A 17,740-nucleotide genomic window follows, 5' to 3' on the forward strand; every position below is an offset into this window, starting at 1 on the left:
CAGCAATAACAAATGCTGGTGAGGATGTGGAGAAAAGGGAACATTTTTACACTGTTAGTGGGAATGTAAATTAGTACAACCACTATGGAAAACAGTTTGGAGGTTCCTCAAAAAAATGAAAAACTGACCTGCCATATCATCCAGCAATCCCACTGCTGGGTATATACTCAAAAGAAGGGAAATCGGTATGTCGAAGAGATATCTGCACTCACATGTTTGTTGCAGCACTGTTCACAATAGCCAAGATTTGGAAGTGACCTAAGTGTTCATCATCAGATGAATGGATGAAGAAAATGTGGTGCTTATACGCAATGGAGTACTATTCAGCCATAAAAAGAATGAGATCCTGTCATTTGCAACAACATGGATGGAACTGGATGTCGTTACGTTAAGTGAAATAAGCCACGTACAGAAAGACAGACACCACATGTTTTCACTTATTTGTGGTATCTTCAAACCAAAACGATTGAATTCATCGACATAGAGAGTAGAAGAATGGTTACCAGAGGCTGGAAATAGTAGTTGGGGGATGAGGGGGAGGTGGAGATGGTTAATGGGTTGAAGAAAAATAGAAAGAATGAACGAGACCTAGTATTTGATATCACAAGACCTAGTATTTGATAGCACAACAAGGTGACTATATCAATAAAAACTTAATTGTACATTTTAAAATAACTAAAAAAGTATAATTGGATTGTTTGTAACACAAAGGATGAATGCTTCAGGGGATGAATACTCCATTTTTCATAATTTTGTTATTACATATTACATCCCTGTATCAAAATTTCTCATTTACCCCATATGTACATACACCTACTATGTACTCACAAAAATTAAAAATGTTAAAAAATCGGAAAAAGAAATAGAAATGAACAGTTATTTGAAGAATTTTTGAGCATGAACCAGAGATTAAGTGTAAAGAATACAAAGTAGAAAGAGGTCTATCAACATGGCGAGAGGCTGGAGACCAAGCAGAAGAGTAACCAGTGAAGGTTCTTTCCTCAGAAGAATAGCAATGGTGAATGCTCAATTCTAAGTCTTTTGCTGTGATGCCCTAAAGTATAACCCTCCACCATAACTGAACCTTCACTAAAGTCTGAAACTCACATAGCCTAGAGATAGCAGTACTTTGGTTGAGTGAAGGGATTATTATGATGTCTTGAGTGGTAACATGGTGGATAAAAGAGACCACACACAGAGAGAAGACAAAACATAGAACAAAAATGGTAAATTTACTAAAAGTAGGAATTTCAACCCAGAGATAAGTGAAAGAAATACAAGACTTTACCTGAACCTTAGATTCTAAAACTCATTAGATGCCTGGAGACAGGCTAATTAAATGTCTAAAACAATCTCTTCAACATTTAACATTTCAAACTACCAGAATATCCAATATTTGTTCACCAATTTAATATATTTGTAGGTGATGCTGAAATCTGTTAGCTAATTCTAACATTATTTATACTCTAGAGTTTAGACTCATAAGTAGAGAATGCCCTGCAGAATAAGATATTTCCTTCCAACCTTTGAAGAATTTCTACAATGATGCAGTAGAGACCTAACCCATGTAGTTTCAAAGGACAGAACTAGGACCAACAAGTAGAATTTAAGGGGAGTAGAGTTTATAGGAAAAGAATTTTGATGCATTGTATTTCTAGTGACAGATTCCCCAAAATAGGGCAGACTTTCTTGCAAAGTAGAATATTATTGAAACAGTTAAAGTAAAGGTTAATGGACATACCTATAAAAGATAATTATACTAACAATAATTGATATATTTTGAAGATTTATTATATGTCAAGCTCTATGCTTAATATTCTACATGCATTCTTATTTAAACTTAACAAAAGCCTGCAAAATAAGTATTATTATTCCCATTTTATCTATGAGACATTGAGGTTTAAAAAGATTAAATAAGTTGCCCCAGGTCACACAGCTGACAAATGACACATAACTGAGATTCTCACCCATAGCCAACTGACTCCAGAACCCATATACTACCATTATGCTATACTGCCTACCAAATTCTATAGAAGTGATTTTTATATTTGCTAAGAAGTTAGATCAGATGAGCTGGGGGTCTTTTTTTTTTTTTTTTTTTTTTTTGACACGGAGTCTTGCTCTGTCACCCAGGCTGGAGTGCAGTGGCTCGATCTCGGCTCACTGAGAGCTCTGCCTCCCGGGTTCACGCCATTCTCCTGCCTCAGCCTCCCGAGTAGCTGGGACTACAGGTATCCGCCACCACGCCCGGCTAATTTTTTGTATTTTTGGTAGAGACTGGGTTTCACCGTGTTAGCCAGGATGGTCTCTATCTCCTGACCTTGTGATCCGCCCACCTCGGCCTCCCAAAGTGCTGGGATTACAGGCATGAGCCACTGCGCCCAGCCCTAATTCTGAGATTCTGTTTGTGTGTGTAAATATGTCTGTTTATAATATAATATGCATATACACACATAAACAGACATATTTACACACAAAAAATGTATGTGTGTATATGTCTATATCTCCATACATGAAAGAAACACATATTTATATAGCTCCATAAATAGTACATACATACACATATATATGTCTATATCTCCATACATAAAACACTAGAGATAGAAACTCCTTAATCCAAGGAAAAGGTGAGAAAAAGATGGCCCTCTCAATAGCAAAATTCAGCGCAATTTAAAATCAATACAAACTGAGAAGTGATTTGTAAAATTTTGGTTAACAAGACATGGAAAGTGACCACCAAGTCCTATGAAGTTGACCTAGGTAGAGCTAGATAGCCTGGAAGCTATGACTGAGATGTGAAGAAACGTCAACTATCTCAACTGTACTGTAGGTAGACTGTCTATGATGCTGAATCAGAAAAAGGGAAATCTATACAACATCTTCATTAAAAAAAAGGAGACAAATAATTGGTCTTTGTTTATGAAGCAAAAGCACTATTTTTTAAATTATGGACTATTTTAAGCCTATAGAAAAATGCAAAAAATATTAGGAAAGAAAAACCATTTTACCTGTGAACCACTTTTGACAATTCTTAACATTTTACCATATTAGCTTCAGATCTTTTAAGAGATATAAAACATTATAGGCAGAGTTGAAGCCCCTGTGTCCCTGTGTACATCTCTATGATCCTATTCCTCTTCCCTAGAGTTAAATACTTAGAGCTAAAATGATCTACCCCTACTCCCAGCTTGAACACTGGGGACTAAATTTATGTACACTTCTACCCCCAATATACCTAACTGTCTACATTAAAATGAGTCTTCCAGGAGTCTCTTGTGCAGGAAGGTGGTTTGGCCGTTCATTATAGGAACTTCCCAAGAGAATCATCAGTGTCAATAAAGTGTCAGAAGACAATTTGTGCCTTGCACTCTTCGAATACCTCTCCTTAAAATCCTCCTCTGTTTCCACTAATCCAAGACTGTTGTATTATGATACTTACCCAGTCCTAACGAAGTCCCAATATTGAAAGAGCCACTTTTAAACAAACTTTCAATTCTGAATAAATTCTGACCTTGTCTTTTCTCCTCTGAGATACTACCAAAGTTTTGGGAAGTTGGTGTTATCTCTTACCATGGTAAGCAAACAAACTCAACAGGTTATGTTGATAATACTGAGAGAACCAGCATTCAACACTACTATTTAGAATTTGTTTTATCATTATAATATATGATTTAATTTGTTTCACTACATATGTACGTATCTTAAGGTGTCATTAATTTTCACTATTGTATTACATTGCATAAGCATGTTTGATCCATTTTCCTCATGAATATTTTGCCTGATATTAATAGAGATATATCAGCTTTCTTTTGGTATCTGCCAGACACACATTTTCCATTCTTTTACTTAAAGTGTGTGTGTGCTTGTGTGTGTTTTGATACAGGGTCTCACTTTGTCACCCAGGCTGGAGTGCAGTGATGCAATCATAGCCCTCTGCAGCCTCGACCTCCTGGGCTCAAGTGATCCTCCCACTCAGCCTCTCAAATAAGTACGACTACAAGCACACACCACTACTCCCAACTAATTTGTTTTTATTTTTAATATAGATGAAGTCTCATTATGTTACCCAGGCTGGTCTTCAACTCCTGGCCTCAATCGATCCTCCCACTTGGCCTCCCAAAGTGCTAGAATTACAGACATGAGCTACAGCACCCTACCTATGTGTGTTGTTATATTTAGGTGTATATCTTACAATTAGAATATCCGTTGGGTTTAATATTCTTATTTTATTTAAAAATGTCTCTTTTAATTGGTGCATTAAGCCCATTTATATTTATTGGGATTACCAATTTATTTAGATTTCTTACTATCACTTTGTTATTTTTTTCTTTGCTTTTTTTTCCCCACATTTCATTCAGTTGCTTGAGTTTTTAATTTCCTTTTATTTCCTCTACTGATTTTGGAATTAAATATTCTATTTTTATTATTTTAGTGACCAGACTAAAATATTAACATATTTTATCATACTTATTGTAAAGGATAAAGTTCATCAGTATGTCTAATCTGCTGTTTTGTAACATAGGATTACACAGTAGAATTTTTTGAGTCCAATTTCTTTCCTTTCATCTTCTATATTACTCTTGAACATTTATTTCTACTTTGTTTTAATTTTTATTTTGATTAAAAAAATAAATCAATGAATCTCAAAAACATCACGCTAAGTAAATAAGTCTTGGACAAAGAGTACACATTTTATACTCACATTTATATAAAGTTCTAGAACTCTACTGTCCAATATGGTATTTAGTAGGTACATGTGGCTATTGAGCACTTGATATATGACTAGTCCAAATTAAGATGCACTATAAGTATAAATTGCACTTTGGATTTCAAAGACATAATATTAAAAAATGTAAAATATATCATTCAAAATTTTTGCACTGATTGTATGTTGAAAATGATAACCTTTGGGGATACATTAGATTATATAAAATACAATATTTTTATTTTTTATTGATACATAATGGATGTACATATTTTGAGGTACACCTGATAATTTAATATATTCATATAATTTGTAAAGATCAAATCAGTATAAATGTTATCCATCACCTTAAATATCTTTCAAATATCTTAATGCTAGAAACATTCCAATTATTCTCTTCTAGCGATTTTGAAATATACAATAGATTCTTGTAAATTATAGTCACCCTAGTGATTTATCAAACACTAGGCCTATTTCTTCCATCAGATTGTATGGCTGTACCCATTAATCAACCTCTCTTTATTCCCTCTTTCTCCCATACTCTTGGCCTTTGATAACCACCAATCTACTCTCTATCTTCATGAGATGCACTTTTTTAGCTCCTACCTATGAGTGAGAACATGCAATATTTGTCTTTCTGTGCTTGGCTTATTTCACTTAACATAATGACCTCCAGCTCCATCCAAGTTTCTGCAAATGACATGCTTTCATTCTTTTTATGCCTGAATAATATTCCATTGTGTATATATATCACATTTTCTTTATCCATTCCAATCATTGATGGGCCCTTAGGTTAAACCCATATTTTGGCTATTGTGAATAGTGCTGCAATAAACATGGGAGTGCAGATATCTCTTCAATATATTGATTTTCTTTCTTTTGAATATATGCACAGTAGTGGAATTTCTGAATCATACAGTAATTCTGTTTTTAGATTTTTGAGGAACCTCTCTATAGTTTCCCGTAATAGCCGTTTACTTCCTAATAGCTGTTTACTTCCAATTTAGATTCCTATCAATAGTGTGTGTTGGGGGGAGTCCATTTCCCCCACATCCTTTTCTTCATGGTTCAATTTTGGTAGGTTATATGTGTGCAGGAATTTACCCATGTTTTCTAGGTTTTCCAGTTTGTTGGCATATAGTTGTGCCTAATAGTCTCTAATTGTTCTTTGTATTTCTGTTGTCTCAGTTTTCATTTATGATTTTATTGATTTATATAGTATCTCCTTTTCCTTAGTCTACCTAAAGGTTTGCTGATTTTATTTATCTTTTTTAAAAAAACAACTTGTGGTTTAATTGAGCTTTTGTATTGTTTTTTAATCTAAATTTTAGTTTTTCTCTGATGTTTATTATTTCTTTCCTTCTACTAATTTTGGGTTAGATTTTTTTTATTTTCTAGTTCTTTGAGGTGCATTGATAGGTTTTTGAAGTCTTTCTATTTATTTGATGTAGGCATTTATTGCTATTAAGATCCCTCTTAGTGCTGCTTTTGCTATATCCCATATATTTTGGTATATTGTATTTCCATTTTCATTTGTTTAAAGAAATTTTTTAATTTCCTTATTAATTTCTTAATTAATACAGTGGTTGTTCAAGAGAATGTTGTTTAATCTCTACATGTTCATGAAGTTTCTAAGGTTCCTCTTGTAATTGATTGCAACTTTTGTTCCATTGTGGTCAGAAAAGATAATTGATATGATTTCTATCTTTTAAATTTTGTTGAGAATTATTATGTGACCTAAGATATGATCTATTCTGGAGAATGTTCCATGTGCTGATGAAAAGAATGTGCATTCTACAGCAGTTGTTTGAAATGTTCTGTAAACGTCAGTTAGGCCTAGCTGGTCTAGTGTGTACTTCAATTCAAATGTTTCTTTGTTTATTTCCTCCCTGGATGATCTGTCCACTACTGAAAGGAGGGTGTTAAAGCCTCCTTCTATTATTGTATTGTATTCTATCTTTCCCTCTAAATCTATGCATGTTTGCTTTGTATACTTGGAAGCTCTGGTGTTGGGTGCATAAATATTTATAATTGTCATATCTTCTTGCTAAATTGACCCCTTTATCATTATATAGTGACCTTCTTTGTCTCTTTTTACAGTCTTTAATTTGTAGTCTATTTTTATCTGATATAAGCAAAGCTACTCCTGTTCTTTTTTTGGTTTCCATTTGTCCTCAGGGATATTTATTTCTTTAGGCATTCCTGATGCTTTCAATGGGATGAAGCAGGGACAGGTCTCCTGCCAAGGAACCCAAGATGCTGGGGAAGCTGATTGTCTACCTCTATCTCACTTTTTCCAGTGCAGAAACCATGAATCAGGGCAAACTTTTCCATGCCTGTGGTGCAGGGCAGATTGAGTGGAAGGGCATTGTGAATATCGAAATCCTATTCTCTTACCATCTGCTCAGAGTTTTTTCACTTCTGTATGGCCATGGGAACTGTCTCATCCTCATATTTGAGCTCTGGGATAGTGCTGCTGAGAAACTTGGTACTGTATATTGGTTCTTGGGTTTTTTTTTATTGGGGAGTAAAGCCAACTTGTTTCTATCCTGCCATTTTGGAATCAAAATCCAACATGCAATATTTAAATTAATATCACCTGTTTCTTTTCACCTTTAGAATTGTGGCTAGTAGAAAATGTAAAATTACGCATGTGGCCCTGTTTTTTGCTAACATTATATTTCTATATAACAGTGCTATTCCTAAAAACGTTAAACTTTTTATTGTGAAAATATCTAAAGAGTGGTTTCTTTTGGGAAGGTGGGGGAATTGACTGGTAACGTCAGGAAGAAAATTTCTGGGGTGATAAGTATGTTTTGTGGCTTGATGGAAGATAGTATTACATAGGTTTTTAATTTGTCAAAACTTGTTAATTGGTACACTTAAGATTTGTGCATTTGAATATATGTATCTTTTTCCTTGACAAAGAGCCAAAAACAAATATTAGACTGTAATGAATGATGTGCATGCTCAAGGCTTAAGGTGAATTGTATTGATATTTTCAATTTGAAGTGCATCAACAAACAAGATGTTTTGGTGAATGGATGAAGAAACAGTTATATAATAAAGCAAATATAGCAAATTGCTAATTGTAGAATCTAGAGTGTGGGCATACAGATGTGTATTGTATAATGCTTTAAATTTTTCGATATGTTTGGAAATGTTCATTATTAAATGATAAATCAAATAATAAATGTAGATAATTTTAAAAATTAAACAGGATTTCTGCTTCCAGATAATGGAGTAACAGGAATCAGATTTACTCTCCTGGCTGCAACGAGCAAAAAATAAAATAAAAACAGATAAAATATATGAAATAATGCTTTTCAAGGCACTAGACGTCAGAAAATGAAGAACATTAGTCTGGAGCTATGAGAAACAAATTAGGTAATCTCTATGATTGCCCTAGCTTACTCCCTTAAGATATTTTCCAGGCCATGGCACAGGAAGGATGTATTAAGGTGAAGGATACTGGACTCTTGTTGAGGATATGGAGCTGAGAGTGCAGGGAGACTAATAGAGCTAGAGCTAAGAGAACAGAGACAGAACCCCAGATACATGCAGAGAGCTCCCCTCAGGTATTCAACAGAATACTTATCAGTGCATGTATGAGAAAAATCTACCTAAGGCCAAGGAAAGAACAATGTGAAAGAATTATATTACAGGGTACAGTGCCATACACCCACAGAGGGCCAGAAATAGTGCCTATTCCCACCAGTGAGATTAGAATAACTAATAACTTACAGAGCATTGGGTAGGGTACCAGGAAGGGCTTGCCTCAGTAGTGAAAAAATAGCCCTAGTCTGAGCTCTGCTTTGGACTCACTTAATACACCATAAAAATAAGACCTAAATGAATCTAATTGTTTCTAAGCAACTTAACTGCATCCAAGAACAAAACTCATAAAGATTTATAGGGACACACATATATCTAGCACCCAAAAAGTTAAAATTCACAATGTCTAACACTGAATCAAAGATTACTAGGTATTCAAAGAAAAAGAGACATATGACCCATAATGAAGTGAAGAAAGGTCAATCAAAATTGACCCATAACAGACAGAGATATTAAAATTAGACAAGGACATTAAAATGGTTATTATAATGTTACTTAATATGTTTAACAAGTTAAATAGATATACAAAATATATAAAAAGATGACCGAAATTGAACTTCCAGAGATAAAAACGATAATGTCTGAGAAGGAAAAAAAAATCACAGGATGGGATTCATGGAAGACTAGCCACTACAGAAGAAAAGATAAGTGCATTTGAATGTATAGCAATAGAAATTACACAAAAGACACATAGAAAAAAATAATATTGATAAAAGAAAAGTGCATTAGTGAACTATGGGACAACAGTAAATGACCTCATATATGCACAGTGGGAATCTCTGAGGGTGTGAAGGGGAAAAAAACATATGAAGAAATAATGGCTGAAAATTTCCAACATTAATAAAAAATATAAACTCGCAAATACAAAAAACTGAAGGAGCCCAAAGCACAATAAGTACGAAGAAAACTACACTAAGATTCATCATAATCATATTGTTCAAAATAAGTGACAAAAAGAAAATCTTAAAAGCAGGCAAACCTGTCTGTTAAGGGGAACAGATAACAATGATATCAGATTTCTTGTCAGAGAAAAATGCTATGGAAAAGATAGTGGACATCTTTAAAGTATTTTTTAAAATCTGTCAGCCTGGAATTCTATACCTGGCAATATATTTTTCAAATACAAAATAAAGTCATTTTTAGGCATACATAACCTGAAAGAAATCATCACCAGCAGATGTCCATTGCAAGAAATATTAAAGGACATCCATCAGGCAGAAGGACAACAAAACAGATGAAAATATTGATTTAGACAAAGAGCAAACAGAAGAGAACAGGAATTGGTAACTATATGGGTAAGTATATAAGACTTTTTTCTTATTTCAACCTCTTTAAAAGACTGTTTAAACAAAAATAATAACAATGCATTGTGGGATTTGGAACATATATAAAAGTAAAACATGACAACAATAGCATAAAGGCTGGGAGAAAGAAATAAAAAATATAATTGTAAGGTTTTTATACTATATGTGAAATGGTATAATAGCACTTGAAGATATACTGTAGCAAATTAAATGTATACATTATAAACCTTAAAGCAACCACTAAAATAACAAAACAAAATGTTATAGCTACTAAGCCAACAAGGAAAATAAAATAGGATCACAAAGAAAATTTGATTAATCCAAAAGAAGGTGGAAATAAAGGAAAAAGAGGGAAAAAATAGATGGGACAAATATAAACAAACAATCAGATTATAGGCTTAATCCTTACCATATTGATAGTCATATAAATTTAAATGGTCCAAACACCCAAATTAAAAGGCAGAGATTGTCATATTAGATACAATATTAAGACACAACTATATTCTGCCTGCAGAAAATGTACTTTAAATATAAAGACACAAATATGCTAAACATAAAAGGATAGAAAAAGATATAGCATGCTAACACTATTCACAAGAAAGCTGGTGTGGTTGTATTATCTGACAAAGTAGGTTTCAGAACAGATAATACTGCCAGGTATAAAGTAAGTCATTTTATAATGATAATGGTGTGAATTTATCAAGAAGATGTAACAATCCTAAATGTTTATACACTGAATAACAGAACTTCAAAACATATGAAACAAAAACTAATAGAACCACAAGGAAAAACAAACAAACCCATGATGATAATCTAAGAATCTATATACCTCTCTCTCAATAACTGACAAAACAAGTGGGTAGAAAAATCAGCAAATGTATATAGTAGATTTGAACAAAACTATCAACTAACTTGACCTGATTGACTTTTATAGAACACTCCACCCAACAACATTAGAATGCACTTTATTCTCAAGAACCCAGGACATATTTACTAAGATAGACCATATTCAGAACTATAAAACAGGCCTCCATAAATTAAAAAGTATCCAACTCTTGCATAGTATGTCCTCTGACCATAATGGAATTAAATCAGAAATTAATAACAAAATGATCTTTGAGGATTCCCATAATATTTGCAAATGAAATAACACACTTCTAAATAATACATGGATCAAAGAAGGAACCAAAAAGAAAATTGGAAAGTGATTTTAACTGAATAAAAACGAAAAGACAACATATCAAAAATTACAGAATGCTACCAAAGCTGTGCTTATAAAAAATGCCTATATTAGGAAAGAAGAACAGCTTCAAATTATAATATCATTTTCTATCTTGAAAACTAGAAAAAGAAGAACAAATGAAACCTAAAGGAAATAGAAGAAAGGAAATAATGAAGATCAAAGCAGAAAACTGTGAAATAAAAAACAGAAAAGCAGCTGAAAAAGTCAATAAAACCAAAGGTAAATTCTTTGAGATCAATAAAATTGATAAACTGCTAGCCAGATTTTTCTCAGGAAAAAAGAGAGAAGACAAAAATTACAAATATCTAGAATGAGAGAAGTGTCATAATGACAGGATCTATAGATATTAAAAAGATAAGGGAACACCTTAAACAACTCTATTCCCATAAATTTAATGAATTAGGTGAAATGGGAAAATTCTTTAAAAGATGCAAATTATCAAAGCTTACTGAAGAAGAAATAGATAACCTGAAATAGCAACCTGTATACATGTTATGGTGTGTGTGTGCACATGTGTGTGTGTCTGTGTGTGTGTGTGAGAGAGAGAAGTTAAAATTATAGTTTAAAGCCTTCTCACAAAAAATCTCCAGGTCTATATGGCTTCACTGGTAAATTCTTCTATACCTTTAAAAAGTAAGTAATACCCACCTGGGCAACATGGCAAGACCTCGACTCTACAAAAAAAGTAAAAAATTTAGCCAGGCGTGGTGGCACAAGGCTAAAATGAGAGGGTTGCTTGAGCCCAGGATGTTGAGACTGCAGTGAACTGTGTTTGCACCATTGCATTCCAGCCTGGGCAACAGAGTAAGGCCTCATTTCAGAAACAATAAAAATAAATAAATAAATAATACCAATTCTACACAAACTCTTCCAAAAAAGTGAAAGGAAGAAAACACTTCCCAACTCATGCTATGACGCCATCATTACCTTGATACTGAAACCACACAAAGACATTACAGGAAAATGCTGGGTAGAGAAAGGCTGGTCCCTAGCTAGGGCTTCACCCCCACAGACCTAGGTGACGACAGGAATTTCCTGCCCAAATGTTGCATTTCCCAAGACCACCCTGGCCTGTCACACCCCTATCCTGGGCCCATAAAAACCGGAGAACCTAGTGGGCAGACACAGAAGTGGCTGGACATCGTGAGGAACACACTGGTGGAAGAAGACACAAGCAGCTGGTCATGGAGAGCCCACCAGCCGAAGAGCACGCTGACGGGGACCGGCAGGCCATCAACCAATGGCACAATGTCAAGTTTGGCCAGAACAGTCAGAGAAGAGCCAGGCAACCAGCCCAACTACAGAGGAAAACCATCTCCCTTCTGGTTCCCCCATCTGGTGAGAGCTGCTTCTACTCAATAAAACCTTGCACTCATTCATTCTCCAAGCCCACGTGTGATCTGATTCTTCCAGTACACCAAGGCAAGAAACCCCAGGATACAGAAAGCCCTCTGTCCTTGAGACAAGGTAGAGGGTCTAATTGAGCTGACTAACACAAGCTGCCTATAGACAGCAACCTAAAAGAGCACCCTGTAACGCACGCCCACTGGGGCTCCAGTTGTAAACATTCACCCCTAGACACTGCCGTGGGGTCGGAGCCCCACAGCCTGGCCGTCTGTATGCTTCCCTGGAGGTTTGAGCAGTGGGGCACTTTAGAAGCGAGCCACAACCCCATCACATGCCCTGCGAGGGGGACAAGGGAACCTTTCCCGTTTCACATTATGAAGAAATTCATAACAAAAATTTAGCAAATTGAGTTCAGCAATATGTGAAAAATAGAATACATCATGACCAAATGGGTTTTATCCCAGAAATGCAAGTTTGGATGAACAGTTTTTTAAAAATCAACATAATCAACAATATTTAAAAAACTAAAAAGGAAAAAATATATGATTATTTCAATAGACACAGAAGAAGCATTTTACAAAACCTAATAGCAGGTCATGATAAAAGCACTCAACAAACTGGGAAGAGAAGGGAACTTCCTCAACCTGATACAGTTCTCCTTCCAAAAAATCAATGGTAACATCCTATTTAGTGGTAAAAGATGAAGTGCTTTACCCCTAAGATCAGGAATAAGACAGGCAAATGTCTGCTTTTCCATTTTTATGCAACATTCTAGTCAATGTAATCAAGCAAGAAAAAATAAATACACAAAGACATCCAGATTGGAAAGGAAGAAGTAAAACTATATTTTCTGATGACATGATTGCCTATGCAAAATATCTGATAGAATCTACCAAAAGCATCTACTAAGGCTAATAAATGAATTTAGCAAGGTTGCAGAACACAAGATGAATATAGATCAATTATATTGTATACAATAACAACAAACTATTGGAAATTGAAATTTAAAAAACAATAACATTTTCAATAGCATCAAAAATATGAAATCTTTAGGACTGTCTAATAAATGATGTGAAAGACCTGTACACTGATAACTGCTAAACATTGCTTGAAAGAAATTGTAGAAAACATAAATAAATAGGTAGTCCTTGTTCATGGATTGGACAACTCAATATTGTTAAGGTGTCAACTCTTTACAAAACTGATCTATAAATTCAACACAATCCCAATCAAAATCCCAGCAGACTTTTTTTTTTCTTAGGAATTGATGAGCAGGTTTTAAACATCATAAGGAAATGCAGAAGACCTAGAATAGCCAAAAGAATTCTGAAAATAAAATTGGGGGTAACATCTGATTTTGCAGCACTATTTGTCAATTAAAATAAAATCTATTTTTTAAAAGCTACAGAATAAAGACAGTGTGTTATTGGCATAAAAGTAGACAAATAGGTTAATGAAACATAACAGAGTCCATACATAAACCCACCTCTATATGGACAACAGATTGTGGTTATGGACAGCAGATTTTTGACAAATATGCAAAATCAAAGGAGTGGCGAGAGAAAAGCCTTTTTAACAAATGCTGCTGAAACAATCGGATGTCCATATTTTGCATGATATACAAGAATTAACTCAAAATGGATCTTACATCTAAATGTAAAACCTAAAACTTCTAGAACAAAACAGAATAAAATCTTTGTGACCTTGGGATAAGAAAAGATTTACTGAACTTGAAAACAAAAGCACAATCCATAAGAGAAAAAAAATGATAAATTGGATTTCGTCTAAATTAAAAACTTTGGATCTTCAAAAGAAACTGATAAGAGAATGAAAAACAAGCCACAGACTGTGAGAAAATCTTTGCAAAGCATGTAACTGACAAATCCAGTATTCATAAAGAACTCTCAAAACTGAAGAAAAAGATAATAACTTACCCAATTTGAAAAACTGGAAAAATATTTGAATAGACATTTCTTTGAAGATGTATGAGTGAAAAATAAGCACATAAAAAGTTGTTTATCATCATTAGGAAAATGTAAGTTAAAACCACAATGAGATACCATTGCACAGTTATTAAAATGTCTAGAATAAAAAAGACTAACCACTTCTGGTGGCCTAACAAAACTTTTTGGGTGGTAGATAAGTTTACTATCTTGATTGTGAGGATGGTTTTATGAAATACTTATATGTACATATTTACACAAGTTTATATAAATATATATGTATATATATTCCAATTATGCACCTTTAACTATGTGCAGCTCTGACGTTGAAAGATTTCCTCATGTCTGGTGATCCTTGACTGGATATTCATACTTAAGAATGAGACACTAAAAAGCTAAGTTTACTCACAAGCGTCACTGTATGATGATCAGACATCAGTTCAAAATCCTTAGCATGAGTAAAAAACTTTGCATCACCTTACTTGCTCTGTTTAATCCTCAGACCCCACTCCTTTCTCTTCTGCAATACACTCTAGCTAGGTCACATTCTGTTCCTGCATCCTGGAAAGTTCCCTTCACCTCTGCATCCTCGGCATACTGCTATTTGCCCTTTAAAACAACTTGGCCCATCCCTATTATTCAAGTCTATCATTTTCCTTAATCTCTCCCTAGAATACAGTTAATAACTATTTCCTTTGCATGACTTTGGTGGTTATAATTCCTTATACTCTTGCATTAAATCCCTGCATTGCAATACATTCTTTTGCATATACATGAGCTCCTGGAGGGATGACATTCATCTCTACATCCTCAGTGACCAGCACAAACCCTGGCACATAGTTGACCATTCAGTAATACTGGATGAGTGACTGCATGGCTAAATGTCATACTCTGACTCTCATACTGCACTGTCTCTGACGCTTATAGCTAGATCTGCTCAGTGGAAGGTCTAAGTCCATAACCTGGCCTACCACTCTCTCTTTCAACTAGATGCAGTTCATCTTGATTGGGCCCTGCTGGGACTTAAAATATATGAAAGACTGACATATACTGTGAACATTTTAGTCGTTATTACTGGGAATTTACTTTTAGTAAACAGGTTGTTCACATGTATGACCTAAATATGATACTAACAGTGTTCTTTACATATTTACTCACCAAATCATTTCCGTGTTCTTCAAATGTTGAATTCTGAACATTGTGATTTAGTACAGCCTAAATCAGTGAGCTTTTATTTTACATATGGAAAAGGATAATCATTGTCAATGAAAAGAGCCAAACTGTAAAATATTTGAAGTGATTTATTCTGAGCCACATATGAGTGACCATGGCCTGTGACACAGCCATCAGGAGGTCCTGAGAACATGTGTCCAAGGTGGTTGGGGTGCACCTTGCTTTTATACATTTTAGGGAAGCGTGAGACATCAATCAAACACATTTAAGAAATACATTGGTTTGGTCCAGAAAGGGGTGGGGGGTGGGAGCTTCCAGGCCATAGGTAAATTTAAACATTTTCTTGTTGACAAATGGTTGAGTTTGTCTAAAGAGGTGGGATCTGTCTAAGATAAGAGATTGTGGAAAGCAAAGTTTTAACTATACAGATGAGACTTTTACCTAGCAGGCTTCAGAGAGAATAGGTTGTAAAATATTTCTTATCACACTTAAAGTCTGTGTTGATGTTAATGCTGGAAAGGTATACTGAGACCCGTTCAACCCCCACTTCCCATCATGGCCTGAAACAGTCTCTCAGGTTAAATTTCAAGAGCTCTGGCTCAGGAGGAATTCCATTCAGATGGCTGGGTTACCTGTTGAGGGTGTCCAGGTTCTTGGTGTTTTGAACAAAGAACTGGACAAAACGCACAAATAAAGCAAAGAAAGAATGAAGAAACAAAAGCAGAGATTTATTGAAAATGAAAGCACACTTCACAGGGTGGGAGCGGGCTGAGCAAGGGGTTCAAGGGCCCCGTTACAGAGTTTTCTGAGGTTTAAATACCCTATAGAAGTTTCCCATTGGTTACTTGGTATATGCCATATGTAAATGAAGAGGATGAAGTCAAGTTACAAAGCCATTCACATTCCTGTCATTGCTGAAATGTTTCCATTTGATTTAGTTCTAGGAAGTCCTTAGGTTCCCTGCCTCCAGGCCTTATTCTCCTGCCTCAGTTGGGGGGCCTTAGAATTTTATTTTTGATTTACATCATAATAAATTTGGAAGAAAACAAATGGTTCTTTGTAGCATAGGCTCCTAGTACCACTGTTTTGCAGTGAACAGTATATGCATACCTACTCCCCAAAGGCCGAGGAAGCTGAGAGTTGAAGAAAGAGGATGATAAATCCAGTTTCTTGAAAGAAACATCTAATAGGAGCTTACAAACAGAAGAGATGTCTCCAGCAGCAGAGAGACTATAGATTCCCACACCTGCCCTCCAGAAAGTATTCTTTATATGGCAAGCTTTTTTTTTTTTTTTTTTCCAGTAAAACAGTGAAACATATGTCAGGCCTCTGAGCCCAAGCCAAGCCATCTCATCCCCTGTGACTTGCACGTATACGCCCAGATGGCCTGAAGTAACTGAAGATTCACAAAAGAAGTGAATATGCCCTGCCCCACCTTAACTGATGACATTCCACCACAAAAGAAGTGTAAATGGCCGGTCCTTGCCTTAACTGATGACATTACCTTGTGAAAGTCCTTTCCCTAGCTCATCCTGGCACAAAAAAGCACCCCCACTGAGCACCTTGCGACCCCCACTCCTGCCCGCCAGAGAACAAACCCCCTTTGACTGTAATTTTCCTTTACCTACCCAAATCCTATAAAAAGGCCCCACCCTTATCTCCCTTCCCTGACTCTCTTTTCGGACTCAGCCCACCTGCACCCAGGTGAAATAAACAGCCATGTTGCTCACACAAAGCCTGTTTGGTGGTCTCTTCACATGGACGCGCATGAAATTTGGTGCCGTGACTCAGATCGGGGGACCTCCCTTGGGAGATCAATCCCCTGTCCTCCTGTTCTTTGCTCCATGAGAAAGATCCACCTATGACCTCAGGTCCTAAGACCAACCAGCCCAAGGAACATCTCACCAATTTTAAATCAGGTAAGCGGCCTCTTCTTACTCTCTTCTCCAACCTCTCTCACTGTCCCTCAACCACTTTCTCCTTTCCACTCTTCAATCTCTCCCTTCTCTTAATTTCAATTCCTTTCATTTTCTGGGAGAGACAAAGGAGACACGTTTTATCCGTGGACCCAAAACTCCGGTGCCAGTCACGGACTGGGAAGGCAGACTTCCCTTGGTGTTTAATCATTACAGGGACACTTCTCTGATTATTCACCCACGATTCAAAGGTGTCAGACCACGCAGGGACGCCTGCCTTGGTCCTTCACCCTTAGCGGCAAGTCCCACTTTTCTGGGAAAGGGGCAAGTACCCCAACCCCTTCTCTCCTTGTCTCTACCCCTTCTCTGCTTTTCTGGGGGAGGGGCAAGTACCCCTCAACCCCTTCTCCTTCACTCTGAGCAGCAAGTCCTGCTTTTCTAGAGGAGGGGCAAGTACCCCAACCTCGTATCTCTGTGCCCCAATCCCTTATTTC

At 35.8% G+C, this 17,740-nt stretch overlaps 2 annotated features.

Moving 5' to 3' along the window:
• Positions 11,692 to 12,193: an enhancer, noted in NCBI's record as "H3K27ac hESC enhancer chrX:110782077-110782578 (GRCh37/hg19 assembly coordinates)". NCBI's record gives its function as "activates a minimal SCP1, AML or CMV promoter by ChIP-STARR-seq in primed H9 embryonic stem cells {active_cell/tissue: H9 hESC(primed)}" and the evidence as "EXISTENCE:reporter gene assay evidence [ECO:0000049][PMID:30033119]".
• Positions 16,336 to 16,849: an enhancer, noted in NCBI's record as "OCT4-NANOG-H3K27ac-H3K4me1 hESC enhancer chrX:110786721-110787234 (GRCh37/hg19 assembly coordinates)". NCBI's record gives its function as "activates a minimal SCP1, AML or CMV promoter by ChIP-STARR-seq in naive H9 embryonic stem cells {active_cell/tissue: H9 hESC(naive)}" and the evidence as "EXISTENCE:reporter gene assay evidence [ECO:0000049][PMID:30033119]".

This window comes from Homo sapiens, chromosome X, assembly GCF_000001405.40.
Source record: "Homo sapiens chromosome X, GRCh38.p14 Primary Assembly".
Classification (NCBI taxonomy): domain Eukaryota; kingdom Metazoa; phylum Chordata; class Mammalia; order Primates; family Hominidae; genus Homo; species Homo sapiens.